This window comes from Homo sapiens, chromosome 14, assembly GCF_000001405.40.
Source record: "Homo sapiens chromosome 14, GRCh38.p14 Primary Assembly".
Classification (NCBI taxonomy): Eukaryota; Metazoa; Chordata; class Mammalia; order Primates; family Hominidae; genus Homo; species Homo sapiens.
The window spans coordinates 34,930,771-34,956,875 of NC_000014.9; the positions used below are offsets into that span (position 1 = coordinate 34,930,771).

Genomic DNA, 26,105 nt, shown 5'->3' on the forward strand with positions numbered 1-26,105 from the left:
GCATTGTGTTGACTGTATTTTGGGAGGTAATTATAAGGTGGGAAAGAAGTATTACCTAGTTTTTAAATAAAAAGGAGTCTAATGAACATGTGACTTCCCGGAAAGCAAAGCACAGAATAGAAAATGTGTAATTTACAGCTTTCAGTTTTCTGTTCTCTTTATTGAAGTAGCTGTTCCTATCACTGCCAGCCCTTTGGCCATCCAAAGTTGCAGCTGTCTACTTTTTTTTTTTTTTTTTTTTTTTTTTTTGTTAAGACAAGGTCTCGCTCTGTCACCCAGGCTGGAGTGGATATGGATGTCCTATACCTAATCAATCTCCAGCTACTGGACGTTTAGGTGGTTTCCAATTTACTACCATTATAAAACAACACTGTAGTAAACCATCATACAGAAATCATTTTGCAAATATCCGATTATTTTCTTAAGTTTTTAGAAACTGAACTGTTTAGTCAAGGTATTTAAACATTTTTAAGGCCTTTGTGACACTGCTGTCAGCAACAGATGAGGATTTCCTATTCTGATGGGTGGAACTTTTCTAGGGGTGGTAATATCTCTTACGTGAAGTCTTGTTTTGTTTTGAAGATGCAGGAAGTTATATAACAGAGACTTTCCTTGCTGGCACACTGTACCAGGAAGGAGACACAGCACTCTATCCACCCTACTTGGCCAGTTTGGTATTTGAATGGAAAGGGCAAGTTTGTTTTTGAGGTGGTGTGTCACACTTGTGTCATGTGAGACACAATATGTAGATCAAAGAGGAGAAAAACCTTTGGGCAATTCTATTAGTCTTCAGTGTGCTTTTGCTAAATATCTTCAATTAAGCAATCTATTACAGATGGATGGTACTGGTTTTTCTTCCCTGAATCCTCCCCTCTTCAAAGGTGATAACTAATTTCATTATTTTCATTAAATATCCATAGACTGAAAGATCAGGTTCTCAAAGATAGTTTCTTTAATTGTAAACTGTCTAATTTTTACTAAAACAAATAAAAAGAAAACCAAGTGGTATTAACTTTGATTTGAGTATATGTGTGATGAGGGTTAATCCTTTCCTGTTTTAATGTGTATGATACGAAGTGTATCTGCCTCAATTTTTATTTATTTATTTTTTGAGACAGAGTCTTGCTCTGTCGTCCAGGCTGGAATGCAGTGGTGCAATCTCGGCTCACTGCAATCTCCGCCCTTGGTTCAAGTGATTCTCCTGCCTCAGCCTCCTGAGTAGCAGGGATTACAGGTGTGTGCCACCATGCCAGGCTAATTTTTGTATTTTTAGTAGAGATAGGGTTTTGTCATGTTGGCCAGGCTCGTCTCAAACTCCTGACCTCAGGTGATCCGCCCACCTTGGCCTCCCAAAGTGCTGGGATTATAGGGGTGAGCTACCATGCCTGGCCCTGTCTCAAATTTTAGTGCAGTGCAATCTATCACTAAGAAATTTCAGGCCGGGCGCGGTGGCTCACGCCTGTAATCCCAGCACTTTGGGAGGCCGAGGCGGGCGGATCACGAGGTCAGGAGATCGAGACCATCCTGGCTAACACGGTGAAACCCCACCTCTACTAAAAATACAAAAAATTAGCTGGGCGTGGTGGCGGGCGCCTGTAGTCCCAGCTACTGGGGAGGCTGAGGCAGGAGAATGGCGTGAACCCGGGAGGTGGAGCTTGCAGTGAGCCCAGATCGCGCCACTGCACTCCAGCCTGGGTGACAGCGAGACTCCGTCTCAAAAAAAAAAAAAAAAAAAAAAAAAAAAAAAAAGAAATTTCAAAGCTGTTATTTAAGATGTTAATTATATAATATACAAATATCACGGTTGTGTGGTTTAACCTGTTAAGACATGCTTAGAAAAGAGAACGTGAGTATACTGACTTTATTACAAGCCTATATTGGAAGATATATGGTAATACATAGGTATGTATAACTCCCTGATAACAATAGGTTATGCATTATTTAAAAACATAATGTCAAACAGCATTACAGTTGGTAATTTATTTAAAGACTACAAGCTTGCTTGTCTGTTCACTACTGCATTTCTATCCTGAACATTTCTGGATATATTACTATATATCAGGTTTATATACTTTTACTATAGGTATATAAATATTTGCTGAATGAATAAAATAGGAAGATAATTTTAAAAGGTAAAAAATGGCATTTAATTTATAAAACATAATAAACAAAAGTTCTAAATCGTATTAAGTTCTAAAACAAACCAGATTTGTCAACATAATTCCAAGTTTAATTCCAAACTTAAAAATGGTAGCATGTAATATCAGTTCACTGAATATTGTAATTAGATATTAAAAGTTCAGATATGAGTAGTAAAGGCAGAGTGGGACTTGTAATACCAGGGTCAAAGGTAGTGCTTGGGGTCTGACTAAATATTTGAAAAAGGACATCAACCTGTGTGGGCAGGTGTTTATGAAGGATGAGAAAGAAGGCAACTTCTTTTTTTCTCTGGTTCTGTGGGCTTCTCTTTAACTTTTGTTTTTTCACTCTTTATCATCCAAAACTAAAGGATTCATGAACTTTGAAGGATCTGAGCAATCGATCTTTGTAAATAGGTAACTTGACACAGTCTTAGGGGAATTAATGATAGTGTATGATAGACTTAATGGAAGCTTAGAAAACACTCTTTTTTTGGTTAACTACCATAGGCACTCTATTTATTTATTTATTTACTAAAGGCTAGCCAAGTGAAGCAGTGGGAGTAGAGAAAGAACAAAGAAATCTGGAACTGGTTGTGATTAATTAGTCATAAACCACTGCACTCGGACCAGCCCATATGCACTCTTTAAAACTTAAAACTTTTTACCAAAATCTTAAATATCAGAACAAGTCAGAAAGCTTGTTTTTTTTAAACCTTGTTTTTATTATGAAATGTATTACACATAACAAAAACTTCATAAAACATATATATAGATTTAAAAAATAATAAAGAAACATTTATGTACTCACCAGCTTAAGAATAATTTTTTGGGTGGGCACAGGGGCTCATGCCTGTAATCTCAGCACTTTGGGAGGCTGAGACTGGAGGATCACTTGAGCCCTGGAGTTTGAGACCAGCCCAGGCAACAGAGACCCCATCTTCACAAAAAATAAAAAATTAGGCTGGGCATGGTGGCTCACGCCTGTAATCCCAGCTCTTTGGGAGGCTGCGGTGGGTGGATCACAAGGTCAAGAGATAGAGGCCAACATGGCGAAACGCTGTCTCTGCTAAAAATACAAAAATTAGCTGGGCGTGGTGGTGTGTACCTGTAATTCCAGCTACTCAGGAGGCTGAGGTAGGAGAATCACTTGAACTCAGGAGGCAGAGGTTGCAGGGAGCTAAGATCGTGTCACTAAACTCCAGCCAGGTGACAGAGTGAGACTGTCTCAAAAAAAAAAAAAAAAAAGAAAGAAAAAGAAAAAGAAAATTAGCCAAGTGTGGTGGCTCACACCTGTAATCCTAGCACTTTGGGAGGCTGGGGTGGGCAAACTGCTCGAGCCCAGGAGTTTGAGACCAGCCTGGGCAACTTCGTGAAACTCTGTTTCTACAAAAAAAATTTAAAAATTAGCTGGGCGGCCGGGCGCCGTGGCTCACATCTGTAATCCCAGCACTTTGGGAGGCCGAGGCAGGTGGATCACGAGGTCAGGAGATCGAGACCATCCTGGCTAACACGGTGAAACCCCGTCTCTACTAAATATACAAAAATTAGCTGGGCGTAGTGGCAGGCGCCTGTATTCCCAGCTACTCGGGAGGCTGAGGCAGGAGAATGGCGTGAGCCCAGCGGGTGGAGCTTGCAGTGAACCGAGATGGAGCCACTGTACTCCACTCTGGGCGACAGAGCGACACTCCGTCTCAAAAAAAAAAAAAAAAAAAAAAATTAGCTGGGCATCGTGGTGTGCACCTGCAGTCCCAGCTATTCCGGAGGCTGAGGCTGCAGTGAGACATGATTGTGCCGCTGCACTCCAGCCTGGGCAATAGAGTAAGACCCTCTATCAAAAAAAAAAAAAAAAAAAAAGAAGAAGAAGAAGAAGAATTTCTTAAATTAACTATCTATGAGAATTGTCAGGTTGACTGTCGTTTTCCAGCTGAGTTTCACAAAATGGGGCCTGCTTAATAAAACAGATTGATACATTCAAATCCACAGGCTCTGGTAATTTGTACTAACGAATACTTATTTCTAGAATTGACCAGAGTTATCACAGAACTAGGAGTGTATTATTTTACAGAATAGTGGAGAACTAATTAAGTACCTATGACTTGTAAAAATAGAAGCTCATGGTTTTTAAATGGAAAAGTCTGACTGGAAACTACAGTCCTTTAATATTAATTTCTAAACTCAGAAGTGAGATTATGATACAATCGGTTGGCAACTATCTAAGTTTTTCCTAGGCAATACCTCCCGTGGCTGGGTAAAGAATATATCTTCTCACATGCATATTAATTTCTTTGAGTGAAATCTGAGTTAGGTGTAAGTTAATATTTATCAAACAGAATCTATATTAGTTATCTCTTGCTGTATGAAAAATTACCCCCAAACTTGGTGCCTTAAAGCAATAAACAATTATTTTCTTACAGAGTCTATGAGTAAGGAAGCTAGGCAAAGCTTAGTTGGGTCTCTTGGCTCTGGGTTTCTCATAAGGCTGTATAAAAGGTGTTGAGCGGGTGCTGCAGTCATCTTAAGGCTTGACTAGGTGTTGATGTTGGTAGGACTTAGTCCCTATCAGGGTGTTGCACTCAGGGCCTCCGTTCCTCACTGGCTGTTGACTAGAGGCTACCCTCCGTTTTTCTGCCATATGGACCTATCCTTTGGATTGTGACCTATCCTTTGGAAATTGCAACATGGCAATTTCCTACATTGGAATGAGCAAGTGAGAGCGCAAGAGAGAGAGGAAGATGAAAGTCACAGTCTTTTGTAACCTAATCTCAGATGTGACATTCTGTCACTTTGCCATATTCTATTCTTTTGAAAGAGGTCATTAGGTCCGGCCCAAGCACAAGAGGAGGAAATTACACAAGGATGTGAAAACCAGAAGGTACGGTGCTTAGGAGTCATTTTAGATGCAGCCTACCACAGTAACTCAGAAAGAAGGAAATACAAAAAGTAAAAATGCTTCAACAACAAGTGCTACTAAAAAAAAAAAAAAAAAAAAAAAAAAAGAATAGGCCGGGCACGGTGGCTCACGCCTGTAATCCTAGCACTTTGGGAGGCCGAGGTGGGCGGATCACGAGGTCAAGAGATCGAGACCATCCTGGCTAACACGGAGAAACCCTGTTTCTACTAAAAATTAAAAAAAAATTAGCTGGGCGTGGTGGCGGGTGCCGGTAGTCCCAGCTACTCGGGAGGCTGAGGCAGGAGAATGGCGTGAACCCGGGAGGCGGAGCTTGCAGCGAGCAGAGATCGCGCCACTGCACTCCAGCCTGGGAGACAGAGCGAGACTCCGTCTCAAAAAAAAAAAAAAAAAAAAAAAAAAAAAAAAAAAAAAAAGAATAGAAAAAGGAAAAAAAGTAAAAATGCTAACTCAGCTAAGCATCGTAATTAAAGAATATCTTTTGTATGCAGAGATGGCATTATTGATGATGATTCCTTTGGGATAGGTGGTCGGGAATAGAAAGACTGCTAATTGAAGTAAGAATACTTTTCACAAAAACAAAGATGGTTCTATGATTTATAGCCATTGTTCACCACTTGTAGAGTTCCTTGCTGTTTTTTACTTTACAAACAATTTTTATAGTGAAGCAAACATTAAACATGAATCAGCAAAGTGGTACTGTGATTTACAACTCAAAAACAATTCTGGGATACACCAATCAATCAGTAAGAATTTACTGAGCACCTACATATGCTAGAAAGTTACTGATACTAGAAAAGTATAAAACAGTATCTGCCCTCAACCTGCCCTCAAGTCTGTGGCAGGTATCGAAAATCTATGCAATAGGAATTAACCCTTTACTAGGGTATTGTATCAGATCCTGGGCTCTAAATTCAAGAGATGAAGAAAATGGGAAAAAATCCAGAGGCATGATTAACCAAAGGATTAAAAATTAGAAAACACAAAATAGCAACAACAACAACAACAAAAATTAGAAAACAGAATTTATGTGGAAAGTTTAAAGGCACATTGCTTATTTAACCTGAGGAAGGTGAAAGTTGCTTTAGTAATCATCTTTAAGTTTATGAATAGTTACACAGGAGATGGAAATAAATGTTTGTGCCCTCAATGAGAAATCTACAGGGCTGGGTGTGGTGGCTTGTGCCTGTAATCCCAGCACTTTGGGAGGCCGAGGCAGGCAGATCACCTGAGGTCAGGAGTTCGAGACCAGCCTGACCAACATGGAGAAACCCTGTCTCTACTAAAAATACAAAAAATTAACCGGGCGTGGTGATGCTTGCCTGTAATCCCAGCTACTCAGGAGAATCGCTTGAACCCGGGAGGCAGAGGTTGCGGTGAGCTGAGATTGAGCCATTGCACTCCAGCCTGAGCAACAAGAGCAAAACTCTGTCTCAATAAATAAATAAATAAATAGTTCTGAAGTCCCTTCTAAGTTCAGTTAAGTTCCACATACTAGATAGAGGCAGGAAAATGTGAAAAAAAAAAAGTTTTTATTAAAAAAAAGAGACATCTACAAGAGAATTGGATTTCTAATATAGTATATACATTAAAAAGTCTTAGAATACATATATTAAGAGAAAATTGTTTAGGAAGGCTCAATGACTTTTTTTTTCTTTAGGGCTTCTTTACAAAACGTTTCCTCACTGTTTTGACAATATCATGAAAAAAATTCAGTTTAGAATCTAGAACTGACCTGGATGGGATTCACAGGGACTGCACAGTCCCTGATTCCTCCCCGACGGTGGGAGCTTAGCTACTAGAAACAGGAACTCAGTTGGTGTCTCGAGTCAGACAAGAAAGGGGAGGCCAGGCCAGAGGCGCCACGGAACTCCCCTTAGTTCTGAATGACAACTTTTAAACCTGCAAGGTCTTTGCTCTGGAGGGAGACATTAACTTTATTATACAGGAAAGTAAACAAGTCTGATATCTGCTCTGAAGGGAAATACTATCTCTAAATTAAGGCTCACCTGTAATCCCAGTGCTTTGAAAGACCAGGGCGGTGGCTGGGTTTTGTGGCTCACGCCTGCAATCCCAGCACTTTGGGGGGCTGAGGCAGGAGGATCCCTTGAGCCCAGAAATTTGAGACCAGCCTTGGCAACACAGGGAGACCTCATCTCTATATAAAATTGAAAAATCAGCTGGGCATGGGGGCACGTGTCTGAAGCCCTAGCTACTCAGGAGGCTGAGGAATGCACCACCACACTATAGCCTGGGCAACAGTGAGACTGTGTCTCAAAAACAAACAAAAAACTATATTTGACTATTCTGAATATACCATATTGAGATAAACTTGCTGTTCTCAAGAGCCCCTTTACATAATAAGATCAGATAAATTATAATTGTTGAGGTTTTTATACTTTTTTTTTTTTTTTTTTGAGATGAAGTCTTGCTCTGTCGCCAGGCTGGAGTGCAGTGGTGCAATCTAAGCTCACTGCAGCCTCTGCCTCCCAGGTTCAAGTGATTCTCCTGCCTCAGCTACCCTAGTAGCTGGGATTATAAGTGCGCACCACCACACCCAGCTAATTTTTGTATTTTTAGTAGAGATGAGGTTTCACCATGTTGGCCAGGATGGTCTTGATCTCTTGATCCGCCTGCCTCGGCCTCCCAAAGTGCTGGGATTACAGACGTGAGCCACCATGCCTGACACCCCCTGCCCTTTTTTTTCTTTGAGACAGAGTCTCACTCTGTTGCCCAGGCTGGAGTGCAGCACAATCTCGGCTCACTGCAACCTTCGCCTCCCGGGTTCAAGCGATTCTCCTGCCTCAGCCTCCTGAGTGGCTGGGACTACAGGCGCCCACCACCACGCCCGGCTAATTTTTTTGTATTTTTAGTAGAGATGGGGTTTCATCGTGTTGGCCAGGATGGTCTCAATCTCTTGACCTCATGATCCGCCCGCCTCAGCCTCCCAAAGTGCTGGGATTACAGGCGTGAGCCACTGTGCCCAGCCAGGGTTAAAATCTTTTAGAACAATTATTATGCTGCTGTATTAGGAAAGCACATCCTTCCCACTTAGTAACCATCCCATTTAGCCCCCCAAAGGAGCAAAAGATGCTTTGTTCTTAGATGATTAGTGGAAGATGATAACCACATCTGTACCCACTGGCACCCTTACACAGTAACATTTCTGCTGTGCCTTCCCTTTTGTCAGAGGTAGCCTTCCGGGCGCATTTCATCCATTTGACAGGAGTGCTGACAAGAAACTCTTAGGTGATCAGGATCTAATAAGCCTGCGAGAGAGGTGGTTGTGTTAAAACCCCTTTTCAGTTGTACCCCCTTTATAAAAACTGTGTTTGAAACTTTCCACACCTCTTCTTGGCCCAAAGGTGATTATTTTTGTTCGGAAATTGTGAGATAACTCATCTGAGGTGAGGTTTTCTTTTAGTACTCCCAGGAGAAGATATATTTCTCTTTTCACTTTGAAAGTTTTCCTTTAAAAATAATTTCTTGTTTGTCCCTCTCCAAGATGGCTGCTGAAGACAAATTACTGCTGCCACAGCTCCCCGAGCTGTTTGAAACCAGCAAACAGCTTCTGGATGATGTAGAAGTAGTGACTGAACCTGCCGGTTCCCGGATAGTCCAGAAGAAGGTGTTCAAGGGCCTGGACCTCCTTGAGAAGGCTGCCGAAATGTTATCGCAGCTTGACTTGTTCAGCTAAAATGAAGATTTGGAAGTGATTGCTTCCACCGACCTGAAGTACCTGTTGGTGCCAGTGTTTCAAGGAGCCTTCACCATGAAACAAGTCAAGCCCAGCAAGCGTCTAGATCATTTGCAGTGGGCTCAAGAGCACTATAAACTAATTAACTGTGCCATTGCTATCAGGTGGCAGAGCTTGAGCTGCCGAAAACCAAGAACTCAGCTGAAAAATCACACTGCTAATTTCTCCATGGCTTATCCTAGCCTCATTGCTATGGCATCTCAAAGACAGGCTAAAAGAGAGAGACACAAGCAGAAGGAGTTGGAGCACAGGTTGTCTGCAATCAAATCTGCTGTGGAAACTGGTCAAGCAGATGATGAGCGTGTTCGTGAATATTATCTTCTTCACCTTCAGAGGTGAACTGATATCAGCTTAGAAGAGATTGAGAGCATTGACCAGGAAATAAAGATCCTGAGAGAAAGAGACTCTTCAAGAGAGGCATCAACTTCTAATTCATCTCGCCAGGAGAGGCCTCCAGTGAAACCCTTCATTCTCACTCGGAACATGGCCCAAGTCAAAGTATTTGGAGCTGGTTATCCAAGTCTGGCAACTATGACGGTGAGTGACTGGTATAAGCAACATTGGAAATATGGAGCATTACCAGATCAGGGAATAGCCAAGGCAACACCAGAGGAATTCAGAAAAGCAGCTCAGCAACAGGAAGGTCAAGAAGAAAAGGAGGAAGAGGATGATGAACAAACACTCTACAGAGTTCGGGAGTGGGATGACTGGAAGGGCATCCATCCTAGGGACTATGGCAGCCAACAGAGCATGGGCTGATCTTCCCACAAATGAGAGGACTGAAGGGTGCACACCTCCCACGCCAAGGAAAACCATGCAGTCCTCATCTCCCTGGGCTTCCGCTTCAGCTGTGTACAACGAAGGCAAAGATGCTAAATCTTGCTTTGCTTTCAATAAAGTGTCCAGTGATTAAAAAAAATTTTTTTTTCTGAGATGCCTTCTATGTTCAGTCATTCTGCAACTTGGGCTGGAAAATGATACTAATTATTTTTGGCTTCATTGGAGTAACTACTGGCCACTTGAAAATTAAATTTTGGCTGGGCGGGGTTGCTCATGCCTGTAATCCCAGTACTTTGGGAGGCTGAGGCAGGCAGATAGCCTGAGGTCGGGAGTTCGAGACCAGCCTGGCTAACATGGTGAAACCCCATCTCTACTAAAAATACAAAATTAGCCAGGCATGGTGGTGCATGCCTGTAATCCCAACTATTTGGGGGGCCAAGGCAGGAGAATCACTTGGACCTGGCAGGCAGAGGTTGCAGTGAGCTGGGATCATGCCACTGCACTCCAGCCTGGGTGACAGAGTGAGACTCTGTCTCAGAAAAAAAAATTAAATATTATGCTCAGTATCTCCCATATTTAAAAGCAAATTTTTCAAATTTTACTTAAGAGCAAAACTGCAGTGGAACAGTGAGTTTTCAAAATGTTGCTAGTCCTGGAATCTGTTTAAGACTTGAAGCCGTTAAGTAGAAATATAGTAAGTGTTTGGGTGTGTGGTGTCTCCCACCTGTAACCCCACCACTTTGGAAGGCCGAGGCAGGTGGATCACTCGAGGTCAGGAGTTCAAGACCAGCCTGGCCAAATGGTAAAACCCCATCTCTACTTAAAAAAATATAAAAATAAAAAAGAGCTGGGCGTGGTGGTGAGTGCCTGTAATCCCAGCTACTTGGGAGGCTGAGGCAGGAGAATCGCTTGAACTCAGGAGGTGGAGGTTGCAGTGAGCCGAGATTGCACCACTGCACTCCAGCCTGGGCAACAGAGCGAGCCTCCGTCTCAAAAAATAAAAATAAAAATAAAAATAAATAATAAGCATTTAGGCCAGGTGCGGTGGCTCATGCCTGTAATCCCAGCACTTTGGGAGCCGAGGCGGGCGGATCACCTGAGGTCAGGAGTTCGAGATCAGCCTGGCCAACATGGTGAAACGCTTTCTCTACTAAAAATACAAAAATTAGCCTGATGTGGTGGTAGGTGCCCGTAATTCCTGCTACTCAGGAGGCTGAGGCACAAGGATCACTTGAACCCGAGAGGAGGAGGTTGCAGTGAGCAGAGATCACGCCACTGCACTCCAGCCTGGGTGACAGAGTGAGACTCTGTCTCAAACAAACAAACAAACAAAAAAACAAAAAAAAAAAAAGAAAGAAAGAAAAAAGAAACATTATAAGGAATTAAAATAATTTTTTACACACATTTTCTAAAAGCCTTTGAGATATTACCTAAGTTGCTTAATAATTAGCTAGTACAACATCTTGGTAAAGTATCATGATTTTCTTATTTGTCAGTTGTTCATTTTACACCTTTTTTGCTTTTCTACTTTTAAAGATTCCTCCAACTTATAAAATGATTGAAAAAATTAAAATGCAAAATAGGTTCTTATTCAACATTTGAATTATCCATATAACTAAGAAAACATTAGGAAATAAAAACTTTATGCTGTGACTTCTGCTACCACCCAGGATGATGTAACAGGGACCAGAATTAACCTCCCACCTAAAATACTTAAAAAACTGAACAAAAATATACTAGTTAATTGTTTTCAGATATCAGACAGGAGGCAGTGCAGGACAGTGATTTCTCAGAGAAGCAAACAAAAAAAGGTGAGTCCTATGATTGCTGTAGAATTTCCAGGCTGCAGCACAGGGAGGAGCAACCCAAACAGATGTTGACCACCTCTTTGAGTTGAGCAAACAGTATGAAGATCTGGGAGGTGAAGGCATCAGAATTTACATGGTAAAAATCAGAGGAGAGAACTACATAATATAAGAGCTCAGAAGTGTTCTCCTTGAGTCTTCAGCTGGTTCTGATCATCAGTACACGTACGTGAAGTAAACGACCAAGATTTGAGAAAGAAGCACTGGAGAAGAACAAGTAGAACAAAACTTGGATTTAAACAGGACCAGAAACTGTGGTCCAACCAGATCGAGTGGAAAAACCTCCTAAGATGCAAGGCATTGAGTAGAGTCTTGAGAAGGTATTGCTTCAGTAGCTGAGCCAAATAAGCCCCATATTAAAGGCTGTAATGGACCTTCCTACAAAGATTCAAGGCCAGGCGTGGTGGCTCACACCTGTAATCCCAGAACTTTGGGAGGCCGAGGTGGGCAGATCACCTGAGGTCAGGAGGTCGAGACCAGCCTGGCCAACATGGCAAAACCCCGTCTCTACCAAAAATACAAAAATTAGCCAGGCATGGTGGCACATGCCTGTAATCCCAGCTACTCGGTAGGCTGAGGCAGGAGAATTGCTTGAACCTGGGAGGCGGAAGTTGCAGTAAGCCTAGATAGTGCCATTGCACTCCAGCCTGGGTGACAGAGAGAGACTCCATCTCAAAGAAAAAAAAAAAAAAAGGCAGCCGGAAGCGGTGGTTCATGCCTGTAATCCCAGCACTTTGGGAGGCCAAGGCAGGTGGATCATGAGGTCAGGAGTTCAAGACCAGCCTGGCCAAGATGATGAAACCCTGTCTCTGCTAAAAGTACAAAAATTAGCTGGCACGGTGGCAGGCACCTGTAATCCCAGATACTCGGGAGATTGAGGCAGGAGAAATTGCTTGAACCCAGGGGGCGGAGGTTGCAATGAGCCAAGATTGCGCCACTGCACTCCAGCATAAGCGACAGAGTAAGACTCCATCTCAAAAAAAAAAAAAAAAAAGGCTGGGTGCAATGGTTTACACCTGTAATCCCAGCACTTTGGGAGGCCAAGGCAGGTGGATTGCCTGAGGTCAGGAGTTCAGGATCAGCCTGGCCAACATTGTGAAACCTCATCTCTACTAAAAATACAAAAATTAGCCAAGTGTGGTGGTGGGTACCTGTAATCCCAGCTACTTGGGAGGCTGAGGCAGGAGAATTGTTTGAACCCAGGAAGTGGAGGTTGTGGTGAGCAGAGAGCACCACTGCATTCCAGCCTGGGCGACAGAGTGAGACTCCATTTCAGGGGAAAAAAAAAAAAGGATTCAAAGTAAGCCTTGAAATGACCATTCAAACTATTTCCAAGTAATACAACTGCATCCCAGAACAAAACCCAAAACATTTAAATAAGAAAACTCCAGCACAATGGAATCCAAAAATTAGAAGGCTTTTGAAGAAATAAGAAAATACAACCTATAACAAGGAGAAAAAACAATCAATAGAAACAGACCCAGAAGTGACAAAGACTATAGGATTTGTTAGTTAAGAACATTAAAACAGCTATTCTAACTATACTCCATATCTTCAAAAAGGTAATGGAAAGTTTGAGCATGATAAGAAGAGGAATGTAAGATATTTTTAAGACTCAAAACAGCTAGAGAAGAAGAAAGAAACAATGTCTAAGATGGACAATATACTAGAGGGGATTAACAGCAGATTAAATACTGCTAAAGAAAGGATTAAGGCCTGGCACGATGGCTCATGCCTGTAATCCCAGCACTCTGGGAGGCCCAGGCGGGTGGATCACCTGAGATCAGGAGTTCAAGACCAGCCTGGCCAACATGGCAAAACTCTGTCTCTACTAAAAATACAAAAATTAGCCAGGTGTGGTGGCCTGCACCTGTAATCCCAGCTACTCAGGAGGCTGAGGCAGCAGAATTGCTTGAACTCAGGAGGCAGAGGCTGCAGTGAGCCAAGATTGCGCCACTGCACTCCTGCCTCGATGACAGTGTGAGACTGTCTCAAAAGAAAAAAAAAAAGAAAAGAAAGAAAGAAAGGATTAATAAACTTGAAGGCATAGCAATAGAAATTATCAAAATGAACCACAGAAATACAAAAGATTGGGTTGAAAAAAATCAGATCTCAATGATCAGATCTCATTGCACTGTGGGAAAACATTAAGCAGCCTAATATATGTGTAGCTGGAGTCTCAAAAGAGGAAGAAAAAAATGGAGGGATAGAATAAATATTTGAAGAAATAATAGCCAAAACATTTTCCAAATGTGATCAAAACTATAAACCCACAGATCCAAGAAGTGCAACAAACTCCAGGCAAAAGAAACACAAAATAAAACACACCAATGCACAATGAAAGTCACAAAAAGAATATATTAAAAACAGGGCCAGGTGTGGTGGCTCATGCCTACAATCCCAGCACTTTGTGAGGCAAAGGCAGTAGGATTGCTTGAGCCCAGGAATTCGAGACCAGCCTGGGCAACATGGCAAAAACCTATCTCTAAGAAAAATAAATAAATAAAATATAAAAATTAGCTGGGTGTGTTGCTGCATGTCTGCAATTACAGATACTGGGGAGGCTGAGGTGGGAGGACAACCTAACCCTAGAACGTCGAGGCTGCAGTGAGCCATGATCACACGACCACACTCCAGCCTGGGCGACAGAGCGAGACCCTGTCTCAAAAAAACAAAACAAAACAAAACAAAACAAAACAAAACAAAACAGCCAGAGAAACAAGCTACAAGTGCTGAGGAACAAAGGCAAGAATGACAGAACAGTGTGGCTCACACCTGTAATCCCAGCACTCCGGAAGGCTGAGGTGGGTGGACTGCTTGAGCCCAGGAGTTCAAGCGACCTAGGCAACATGGTGAAACCACATCTCTACAAAAGATACAATAATTAGCTGGGTGTGGGGATGCACATCTATGTCCCAGTGACTCAGGAGGCTGAGGTGGGAGGATCACCTAAGCCTGGAAGGTCAAGGTTGCAATAAGCCATGATCACACCACTGTACTCCAGCATGGGTGACAGAGAGAGACTCTGTATCAAAATAAATAAAATGTAAATTCAGTGGTTTTTAGTATCATCAATTGTGCAACTATCACCAAAATCTATTTTTAAACTATTTTTATCACCTCAGAAAGAAACCCTGTACCTATTAGTAATCACTTCCCATCTTCTTTTACCCCCATCCCAGCTCTAAGCAACCAGTAACGTACTGTCTCTATAGGTTTGTGTATTCTAAACATTTCATATACACTGAATCATATAATATGATCTTTTGTGACTGGCTTCTTCACACAATGTTTTCAAGATCATTGGGTTGTAGCATGTATTATTACTATCTTTTAACCTACGTAAAATTTCATCGTATGGATATACCACATTTTATTTATCCATTCATCAGCTGAGAGACATTTGTCCCCACCTCCCCTCACTTTCTGGCTTTTATACATAATGTGCTGTCAATGTTTATGTACAAGTTTTTGTGTTGGACATGTTTTCCTTTCTCTTGACTATGTATCTAGGAGTGAGACTGCTAGGTCATATAGTATCTCCATCTTTAGCATTTTGAGTAACTATCAAACTGTTTTCCAAAGCATTTGCACCATTTTAAAATCCTACCAGCAATGTAGGAGGGTTCCAACTTCTCAACATCAACCTAAAGTAATTTTCAAGCTTCATTTTATCCCATAAATTGTGGGTCCCATGTTGTCAGAATGCAGGTAGGTTTTAAGGAAGTTGCATTCACTCATTTCTTTGCAAAGAAGCTTCAAATACAATTTTTTTTTTCTGTAAGAAAATGGAGTTGGACAAGTTTATTCTGAGACATTTTCAAACTTGAAAAGTCTGTGCTTTTCTGAATTCATACAGAAAGCATGGCTCTTATTTTTGCACCTTGCAGTTTGACTTAAATATTAATGCTTGTTTGACAAGGAAAATAATGTTTGTTTGGCAAGGAAATTAAACAAAAGATTGAGTCCAAAAACTGAGTCGTTATAAGCAAACCACGTATAGTCTCTATGAGTTGTCCTTTCCTGCCTGTTTTCAAGCCAAAAACTTGTCATATTTTCTATTTCTTCAGTTGCTTTTGAAAAGTTCAGGTATTATTTTATTAATGTATGAACAATTCAGTAAATAAAAAAAAAGAAGAAAATGAACCCACTTTCTATATAGGTAACTTTCAATGTAAAAAAAATTACAACAATAATTCCCATTTAGGTTATTAGGTTCATAGTATTGGATGATACCATTTACAGTATTAAAGCTACGTTGTACTTTTATTCACAAAAGTCACAAATTTTGAACCTTTATTTCTTCCTCTTGGCTTAAGCACCCAGCAGATTTATAAATCATCTCATACATTTGACAATTACTCAAGCAACTCTCACATTATGAGGGAATGCAAAACCAAAATAAGGCAAAACACATTTTCTATTAGAATCTATTGATTTCTGTGGTTAATAGTAGGTTATGAAATTTAAAATACAGATGCAGCATAACAAAAGGGCATGGTCTTTGGAGTTCAGATAGGAATAGGGTTGAATCCTGGCTCTGCCATTTACTAACTGTGTAACTTTTGGAAAGGTTCTTACCTTCACTAAAACTCAGTTTACTCATCTGTTAAATAGGGTTAATAGCTCCTGCATCATTGGGTTGTTAGGGTCAACAGCTAATGCATCTCGTATAAAATATGTGTCAGCAAATTTTATGTGTTTTTTATTCTCTGAAAATCTTCCTTGATGACTCTTGGTATAGGAGTCTGTGATTTAGGTCAGTATGGAAGCTGTTTTTTTTTTGTTTTTTTTTTTAGATGAAGTCTTGCTCTGTTGCCCAGGCTAGAGTATACAGTGGCACCATCTGGGCTCACTGCAAATTCCACCTCCCAGGTTCAAATGATTTTCCTGTTTCAGCCTACCGAGTAGCTAGGATTACAGATGCCAACAACCACACCCAGCTAATTTTTGTATTTTTAGTAGAGATGGAGTTTTGCCATGTTGGCCAGGTTGGTCTTGAACTCTTGACCTCAGGTGATCTGCCCGCCTTGGCCTCCCAAAGTGCTGGGATTACAGGCGTGAGCCACTGCGCCCAGTCAGTATGGAAGCATTTTAACAGAGCCTGCTTGAGATGATTTCATAGCTTATGACCTTTTTCTGTCATTAGGTACAGTTGAGATTTTACACACTTTTTTTTTTTTTGAGACGGAGTTTCACTCTTGTCGCCCAGGCTGGAGTGCAATGGTGCAATCTTGCCTCACTGTAACATCCGCCCCCTGGTTTCAAGCAATTCTCCTGCCTCAGGCTCCCAAGTAGCTGGGACTGCAGGTATGTGCCACTATGCCCAGCTAATTTTTTGTATTTTTAGTAGAGACTGGGTTTTACCATGTTGGCCAGGCTGGTCTCGAACTCCTGCCCTCAGGTGATCTGCCTGCCTCGGTCTTCCAAAGTGCTGGGATTACATGCATGAGCCACCGCACCTGGCCACATACTTTCTTTTCTCCTCAGTCTACGTAATTACATTTTCACTAATCCATAATCTATATTTAATTTATTCCTAAAAGGTTATATTGGGCATTTTTTCCTCATCTCCCTCAAAGAAAGTAGAAATTTGAGAATACCAATTAGTGTTAGAGAACTTAACAGCTGGATGATCATTGTTGTTGGCAAAGAGCAACTTGAAGTTGAATGCTCTTCGAAATGAGGATCCTTGATACAAATACGATTACTTTATCTATCTATGTGGTTGGGACATTTCTTCTGATAAACAGATCAGTTCCAATTTGTATTCTATTTATGTGCATTTCCATATGTGTGTCTGAAGGACTGTTTATCATTCTCGATGTACATAATACTCTTGTGAAATTCATGGTCAGAAAAGATGAATTAACTTATTTTACAAGTGGATAAAACGGCAGCCTAAAGTGGTTGAGTTGCTTAAAGCATTAAGCAATACCCCAGGTTCCAAGGCCTGCCTAAACAACACTGTATCTAAGGAAAAAGTTACTTTTAAAGTAGGTATCTGGGCAGGCATGGTGGCTTAGGCCTGTAATCCCAGCACTTTAGGAAGCTGAGGCAGGTGGATCATTTGAACCCAGGAGCTTGAGATGAGCCTGGAAAACATGGTGAAACCGTCTCTACCAAAAAATACAAAAATTAGCTGGGTGTGGTGGTGGGTGCCTATAGTCCCAACTACTTGGGAGGCTGAGGTGGGAGGGTCACCTGAGCCTGAAAGGTTGAGGCCACAGTGAGCTGAGATCATGCCACTGCACTCCAGCCTGGGTGACAGAGTGAGACCATGTCTTAAAAAAAAAAAAAAAAAAATTAAGCCAGGAGTGGTGCCTCATACTTGTAATCTCAGCATTTTGGGAGGCAAAGGCAGGTGGATTGCTGGAGCTCAGGAGTTTGAGACCAGCCTGGGCAATATGGTGAAACCCTGTCCCTACAAAAAATTAGCCAGGCATGGTGGTGCACAGCTGTAGTCCCAAGTACTTGGGGGACTGAGGTGGAAAGACTGCTTGGGCCTGGGAGGTTGAGGCTGCAATGAGTTGAGATCACACCACTGCACTCCATCCTAGGAGACAAAGCTAGACCCTGTCTCAAAAAAAAATTAAAAATAAAGTACGTATCTTTTACTATACTAGCATGTCGCCAGTGAAACCCTTATGTTTGTCTTCTTTTCCGCAGCAAGATTCTTTTTTTTGAGATGGACTTTCGCTCTTGTTGCCCAGGCTGGCGTGCAATGGCACGATCTCGGCTCACTGCAACCTCTGCCTTCTGGGTTCAAGTGATTCCCCTGCCTCCGCTTCCTGAGTAGCTGGGATTACATCCATGTGCCATCACACCTGGCTAATTTTGTATTTTTATTAGAGACGGGGTTTCTTCGTGTCAGTCAGGCTGGTCTAGAACTCCCAACCTTAGGTGATCCACCCACTTTGGCCTCCCAAAGTGCTGGGATTACAAGCATGAGCCACAGCACCCAGCTCCCCAGCTAGATTCTTATTTACAATGTTTAGAACTTTATTTTATGCCCTACCCTAATCCTTGTCTTCAATGCAGTTATCCTTGTGTATCTTATATGTGTGTTTCACCCTTGGCAGGTTCCCATTCAAGCTATTGTTTTAATGTTTGCCTCCTGGCATTCTTTTTTGGCCATGTACTTAGTATTTAACTATTTTTTATTTTGTTAGCGTATGATTCCATGCAGCAGATTTCTTGCTATTATCTTTTGACTTAATGGATTTGCTGTAATGCCTCACTGATTTTCTCAAATCTCTTCGTAAATGTAATTATTAAAACTACTCACTTCCAGATTTATCTACTCCCCACAAAGTGCTAGGCCCTCCTAAATACTTCATGATTCCTTCTTTCTCCCTTCATTCCCAGTGTTGATGCCTTAGTTCATTACTACTGGGTTTGCTGGACCACTCCAGTGGCTGACTTATTTTCTTTGCTGTTGTTTTGCCCTTTTATTTTGTTTTTGAGACAGAATCTTGCTCTTGTCGCACAGGCTGGAGTGCAATGGCACGATCTCGGCTCACTGCAACCTCTGCCTCCCGGGTTCAAGCAATTCTTCTGCCTCAAGCCTCCTGAGTAGCTGAGATTACAGGTGCCCGTCACCATGCCCGGCTGGTCCAGAACTCCTGACCTTGTGATCTGCACTCCTTGGCCTCCCAAAGTGCTGGGATTACAGGTGTGAGCCACCACACCCGACCATGTTTTACCCTTTTAATCCATCCTAAATAACGTCTTCAGAATTACGTTTCTATACTTTTATTCTGACTGTATCAGTATGCTAATGCATCTTGGAATGGCTCCCCCTTTCAGAATACAATGTGATCTCCTTTGTTTGCGACACCATGTCCTTCCCGATCTGGCATTCGTCTACTTTACCAACCTCATGTAATCCTAGCCTGGACCCTGGTCATACTAAAATACTCTCCTCTATGCCCCCGCATATGGCATTCCCTCTACCAGCGACATCTTTCCTTACCCTGTATCTAAATGAAAGAAGCGCCTCTCTCCTTAGACTGTGAGTTCCTTCAGAGTGGACCCAAGTGTTCCATGTTTGTATCCAGAGTCTGGCAGAGTGCTGGATAAACAGTGGACGCTTAGTACATGTTTGTAAAATTAGTGCAATTAATAGTTGAATGGCTGTGGAATTCACCATCAACAAAAAATACCTTATAATGTCTACTAATGATGAAGTTTTCATCAAATTTTGGAATGTTTAAGCTGTTGTATCCCAAAATGGGACGAGGCTGGGACATCTGGGGCATCTGCATTACTAGACAGCACTGGAGGTTGGGTGAGGGAATAAGGTGACAAAAAAAATGAAGAAGCTGTATGAAGTTAATTTTCAAAATTATTTTTATTTTATTTACTTTTGTTTTTATTTTTTTTTTTGAGACAGAGTCTTGCACTTTCGCCCAGGCTGGAGTGCAGTGGCGTGATCTCAGCTCACTGCAAGCTCCACCTCCTGGGTTCATGCCATTCTCCTGCCTCAGCCTCCCGAGTAGCTGGGACTACAGGCGCCCGCCACCACGCCCGGCTAATTTTCTGTATTTTTAGTAGAGACGGGGTTTCACCGTGTTAGCCAGGATGGTCTCGATCTCCTGACCCCGTGGATCCGCCCGCCTCGGCCTCCCAAAGTGCTGGGATTACAGGTGTGAGTCACAGCGCCTGGCCGGTTTTTTTTTTTTTTTGAGACAGAGTTTCAGTCTGTCACCCAGGCTGGAGTGCAGTGGCGTAATCTCAGCTCACTGCAACCTCTGCCTCCCGGGTTCAAGCGATTCTCGCGCTTCAGCCTCCTGAGTAGCTGGGTCTACAGGTGCGTGCCACTATGCCCAGCTAATTTTTTGTATTTTTAGTAGAGATGGGGTTTCACTATGTTGGCCACACAGGTCTTGACCTCCTGGCCCCAAGTGATCTGTCTTGGCTTTCCAAAGTGCTGGGATTACAGCCATGAACCACTGCACCCAGCCCTGTATGAAGTTTAATAATTTAAAAAAATCATTGGCTGAAAAAAGTTCCAGAGTTCTAATACGTTTATTTTCTATCAATTTAATTTTTATCAAATCAATGTAAAATGGTAAAGAGCTAAATAATTAGGACATTTACTGTAATCTTAATGTTTTTGTTTGAGTACCAGCAATGCTATATGAAAAACTGGTTTTGTTTTGTGTATTTTTCATTTGGCTGATGAAATATGAAACTATCTTAACTCTATTTTTCTCCTTCCCCACAAACCTTCTGAGATGCATTGCATAACACTGGAGGATAGAGAGGGAGGTTGAGGTCAAGCTAAGGAATGACAAATTGTGGGAAGTATAAAGCTTCCAACACTAAAAATTCTCCTAAAGTAAGAAACTAGCATTTTTTTTTTTTTTTTTGAGACACAGTCTCACTCTATTGCCCAGGTTGGAGTGCAGTGGTGCAGCTTCCTGGGCTTAAGTGATCCTCCCACCTCAGCCTCCCACGTAGCTGGGACTACAGGCATGCACCACCACACTCCTGGTCAGGAGTTCGAGACCAGCCTGGCCAACATGGTGAAACCCCATCTCTACTAAAAATCCAAAAAAATCAGCTGGGTGTGGTGACGCACACCTGTAGTCCCAGCTACTAAGGAGGCTGAGGCAGGAGAATCGCTTGTACCCGGGAGGTTGAGGTTACAGTGAGCCAAGATTACGCTACTGCACTCCAGCATGGGCTACAGAGGGAGACCTCATGCCACACGCACAAATAATAATAATAAAAATAAATAAAATAAAATGACAGTTAGTTGTCTCTAGGCAAATATATAGACATTTAAAAACTAAGTTGAATAACTCCACATACAGAATATTGAAGGTGGTGGTAGTAATGTCTCCTTGGTATCCTACAGTTTGAATATTTACCTCATATTTATTAAAAAATGTGTTAAGCATATAAAGTGATCTCCACTTAGCCATGGTTTTTCTTTCCGTAGTTTCAATTACCTGTGGTCAACTGTAATCTGAAAACAGCACACAAAAATTTCCGGAAATAAAAAACTCCTAGGTTTTAAACTGCATGCCATTCTGAGTAGCATGATGAAATTTCACGCCATCTTGCTCTGTATCCCAGAAGTGAATTATCTCTTTATCCAGGGGATCCACACTTGTCTCCACTACCCACCTGTTAGTCACTTAGTAGCGTCTTCTTTGTCAGATCAAGCCCTTTGTCTCCTTATCGAAGGGCTGGTGGTAAAGTAAGGCTTATTTCTCGTTCTTTTTTGTTTGTTTTTTAAATTTTCTTTTTTTTTAATTTTCATTTTTTTGTTTGCTTTTCAAGTAATGCTTATTTTACTTAAGAATGGCCCCAAAGCACAGAGTAGTGATGCTGGCAAGTTAGATATGCCAGAGAAGCCATGAAGTGCTTCCTTGATTTGGGGGCCGAGGCAGGTGGATCACCTGAAGTCAGGACAGAGTGAGACCCCTGAAGTCAGGAGTTCGAGACCAGTCTGGCCAACATGGTGAAACCCCATCTCTACTAAAAATACAAAAATTAGCCAGGCATGGTGGCGGCACGCCTGTAATTCCAGTTACTCGGAAGGCTAAGGCAGGAGAATTGCTTGAATCTGGGAGGCGGAGGTTGCAGTGAGCCAAGATCACACCACTGCACTCCTGCATTTTAATTTCTCTGTGATGAAAACCTTAATGATGCACCAATCCAAAAATATTAGTGTCTCTTTCAAATATATTGAAAGGAACTTTCTTGTGTCTAGAATCCATATATGCCATATAAAAAGTAAGAAATCAGCAAGCCTGATTTCAGGGTTTCAGACTACAGACTATAGCAATTTTCTAATTAGAGGATCCTATAGGTACTGATGCACCAATTGTGGCAAGAAGTCAGAAAAGTGATCATAGATTTGCTAGTTTTTCTATTTGAATAGCAGAATAAACTCAAGGAACCTATGATTAATACCTTAAGAACATTTTTAAAGTTCAATAATTAATCTGTTTTCCAGGTTAATAGTCTTGTTTTTTTTTTTTTTTTGAGACGGAGTCTCGCTCTGTCACCCAGGCTGGAGTGCAGTGGTGCGATCTCGGCTCACTGCAAGCTCTGCCTCTTGGGTTCACACCATTCTCCTGCCTCAGCCTCCTGAGTAGCTGGGACTTCAGGTGCCCGCTACCACACCCAGCTAATTTTTTTTTTTTTTTTTTTGCATTTTTAGTAGAGACGGGGTTTCACTGTGTTAGCCAGGATGGTCTCAATCTCCTGACCTCGTGATCTGCCCGCCTCGGCCTCCCAAAGTGCTGGGATTACAGGAGTGAGCCACCACACCCGGCAATATTCTTGTTTTTTTTTTCTGAGGTGGAGTCTCACTCTGTCATGCATGCTGGAGTGCAGTGGCACCATCTTGGCTCACTGCAACCTCCGCCTCCTGGGTTCAAGCGATTCTCCTGCCTCAGCCTTCTGAGTACCTGGGACTACAGGCACCCACCACCACGCCAGGCTAATTTTTGTACTTTTAGTAGAGATGGAGTTTCACCATATTGGCCAGACTGGTCTCGAACTCCTGACCCTGTGATCCACCCATCTCAGCGTCCCAAAGTGCTGGAATTTAGGTGTGAGCCACTGTGCCCAGCCAATATTCTTATATCCATTTAATATTCATTTATAAGCCTTAGTTAATTCCCATTAGTTTGTAATAGGATAGCAATATGATGTTATTTCACAGAAAAAAAACTGAGGCAGAAAAGAACAAGTATAGGCTGGGCGCAGTGGCTCACACCCACATCCTAGCACTTTGGGAGACTGAGGCAGACGGATCACTTGAGGTTAGGAGTTTGAGACCAGGCTAGCCAACATGGTGAAATCCCATCTCTACTAAAAATACAAAAATTAGTCGAACATGGTGGCACGTGCCTGTAATCCCAGTTACCCATACCCAGGAGGCTGAGGCAGGAGAATCGCTGGAACCTGGCAGGCGGAGGCTGCAGTGAGCCAAGATTGCACTGTTGCACTCCTGCCTGGGCGACAGAGCAAGACTCCTCTCAAAAAAAAAAAAAAAAGAAGTATAAAGGCCCACTGAGAATTGGTATTTTATTGTATCCCTCACTGCTAAGGAAATGTTGGATCATGAAATCATTTTATCTGTCAAAAATTAGACACGCTGGGTGTCACAGCTCATGCCTGTAATCCCAGCACTTTGGGAGGCTGAGGTGGGCAGATCACTTGAGGTCAGGAGTTCCAGACCAGCCTGGCCAACATGGTGGAACACTGTCTCTACTAAAAATACAAAAAATTAGCCAGCCATGGTGGCACACACCTGTAATCCCAGCTAGTTGGAAGGCTGAGGTGGGAGAATTGCTTGAACCTGGGATGTGGCGGTTGCAGTGAGCTAAGATCGCACCACTGCACTCCAGCCTGTGTGAGAGAGCGAGACCCTGTCTCCAAAAAAAAAAAAAAAAAATTAGATACTATGTTTTCCAAAATCAGACAAGGTTTGTTTTCATTTTATAAACAGCACTTTTCCTTATACTCTATAAGGAGATTATACTCCTTATAGTTGTTTGAGGAGTAGTTTTTAAAAAGTTTAACATGAAAACATTTCTCACCTACTAATCTCTTTTCATATCTTGCTGGATATATTTTAATGACAAATTTCTTGCTTGATAAAATAACATACCTGGTCTGTTTTGCCTTATTAATATTCAAAAGCATTATTCATAGCATCAGCATTTTGCAGAAGTAAATCTGGTGTACAGATGTCTGCATGAAGCACCTAAAGAAGAATGAATTCACAGACAAGAACAAGGATACAATAGCATACAAGCACATAAGAAGTATCTATTGGTTCACTGATGTTGTGAAACAACATGACAGGTTAACACTTCTAAAAATTGGAGAAAAAGCAGTATAATACTACCACTTATGGGAGTAGTATTATATAAGATGCTTATTATCTAGTAAAACCCATGAACCTGTCAATATTTCTTTTAGAAGCAATTATTCACTTAGTCATAATTATGCTCTTTGACTTCCAGTTCAGTTTTTCCCACTATAATTATAACACTAGTTGTAAGAGTCAAAGGACCTAAGTTCAAATTCTGGCTCCATCACCAACTAGGTTTATACTGTTAGGTAATCAGTTTCTTCATAAATAAAATGAAAGAATATGTTCTAATTCACAGAATCAAATAGGACCATAAAAACATTTTTTAAATGGGTTATAAAAAATTATAAAATGTTAATATATGGTAACTGGTCTTGTTTGGCTTTTCATCTAAAAATCACTTAGGTCAGGCGCAGTGGCTCACACCTTTAATCCCAGCACTTTGGGAGGCCGAGGCGGGTGGATCACCTGAGGTCGGGAGTTTGAGACCAGCCTAACCAACATGGAGAAACCCCATCTCTACTAAAAATACAAAATTAGCTGGGCATGGTGGCACATGCCTGTAGTCCCAGCTACTCGGGAGGCTGACGCAGGGGAATCGCTTGAACCCGGAGGCGGGGTTGCAATGAGCCAAGATAGTGCCATTGCACTCTAGCCTGGCAACAAGACCGAAACTCCATCTCAAAAACAAAAAACAAACAAACAAAAAATCACTTAAATGTATCACCTATCCAAAAAAGTAAACAAAACAATTTATTTAAAAAATACAGGAGAGGCCAGGCGTGGTGGCTCATGCCTGTAATCCTACCACTTTGGGAGTCTGAGGTGGGCAGATCACTTGAGGTCAGGAGTTTGAGACCAGCCTGGCCAACATGGTAAAACCCCGTCTCTACTAAAAATACAAAAATTAGCTGGGCGTGGTAGCGTTCACCTGTAATCCCAGCTACTTGGGAGGCTGAGGCAGAAGAATTACTTGAACCCGGGAGGTGGAGGTTGCCATGAGCTGTGATCGTGCCACTGCACTCCAGCCTGGGCAACAGAGAGAGACTCTGGACACTTGAGTTGGCAGAGAGATGCTCAGAGGAGTGGTAAGGGCAGCAAGCCACCTGATGTGGAGACCAGAGGGTTTGCTGCAGGAGCATTCTGTAATGGAGCACAGCCAGGGACTGCCATGCCTCTAGACTCGACTTACTTTGATAGGAGAGTTTAGCTCTAGGGGAACTCTCAGACTTGAACTCTGCAGGGCAATCTTGTCCATCAGACGGGTGTTGCAGATGATCAGTGTCTATCTGGGCTGGTGGCCCCGGTGGTAAGAATTTAGACAGTTGTAGGCAAAGAAAGGCAGATTTAGCCGGGCATGGGGGCTCACGCCTGTAATCCCAGCACTCTGGGAGGCTAAGGCAGGTGATCACCCAAGGTCAGGAGTTCAAGACCAGCCTGGTCAACGTGATGAAACCCCATCTCTGCTAAAACCACAAAATTAGCTGGGTGCGGTGGTGCATGCCTGTGACACAGCTACTTAGGAGGCCAAGGTAGGAGAATTGCTTGAACCTGGGAGGCAGAGGTTGCAGTGAGCCGAGATCGCGCCATTGCACTTCAGCGTGGGCAACAAGAGTGAAACTCTGTCTCAAAAAAAAAAGAGGCAGATTTATGGCCAGGCCTGGTGGCTCACGCCAGTGATCCCAGCACTTTGGGAGACCGAGGCAGGTGGATCACTCAAGGTCAGGAGTTCCAGATCAGCCTGACTAACATGGTGAAAGCCCATCTCTACTAAAAATACAAAAAAATTAGCCAGGCATGGTGGCGGGCA

General features: G+C 42.2%; 1 long non-coding RNA gene and 1 pseudogene across 2 annotated transcripts in view; one reads left to right on the forward strand and one right to left on the reverse strand.

The window, feature by feature from the left end:
• Positions 1-26,105, reverse strand: part of SRP54-AS1 (SRP54 antisense RNA 1) — a 66,087-nt gene that overhangs the window by 14,291 nt on the left and 25,691 nt on the right. The window lies entirely within an intron of this gene.
• IGBP1P1 (IGBP1 pseudogene 1) lies at positions 9,152-9,726 on the forward strand (annotated as a pseudogene). The gene has a single exon (NR_002937.2). The product of NR_002937.2 is annotated as an IGBP1 pseudogene 1 (transcript).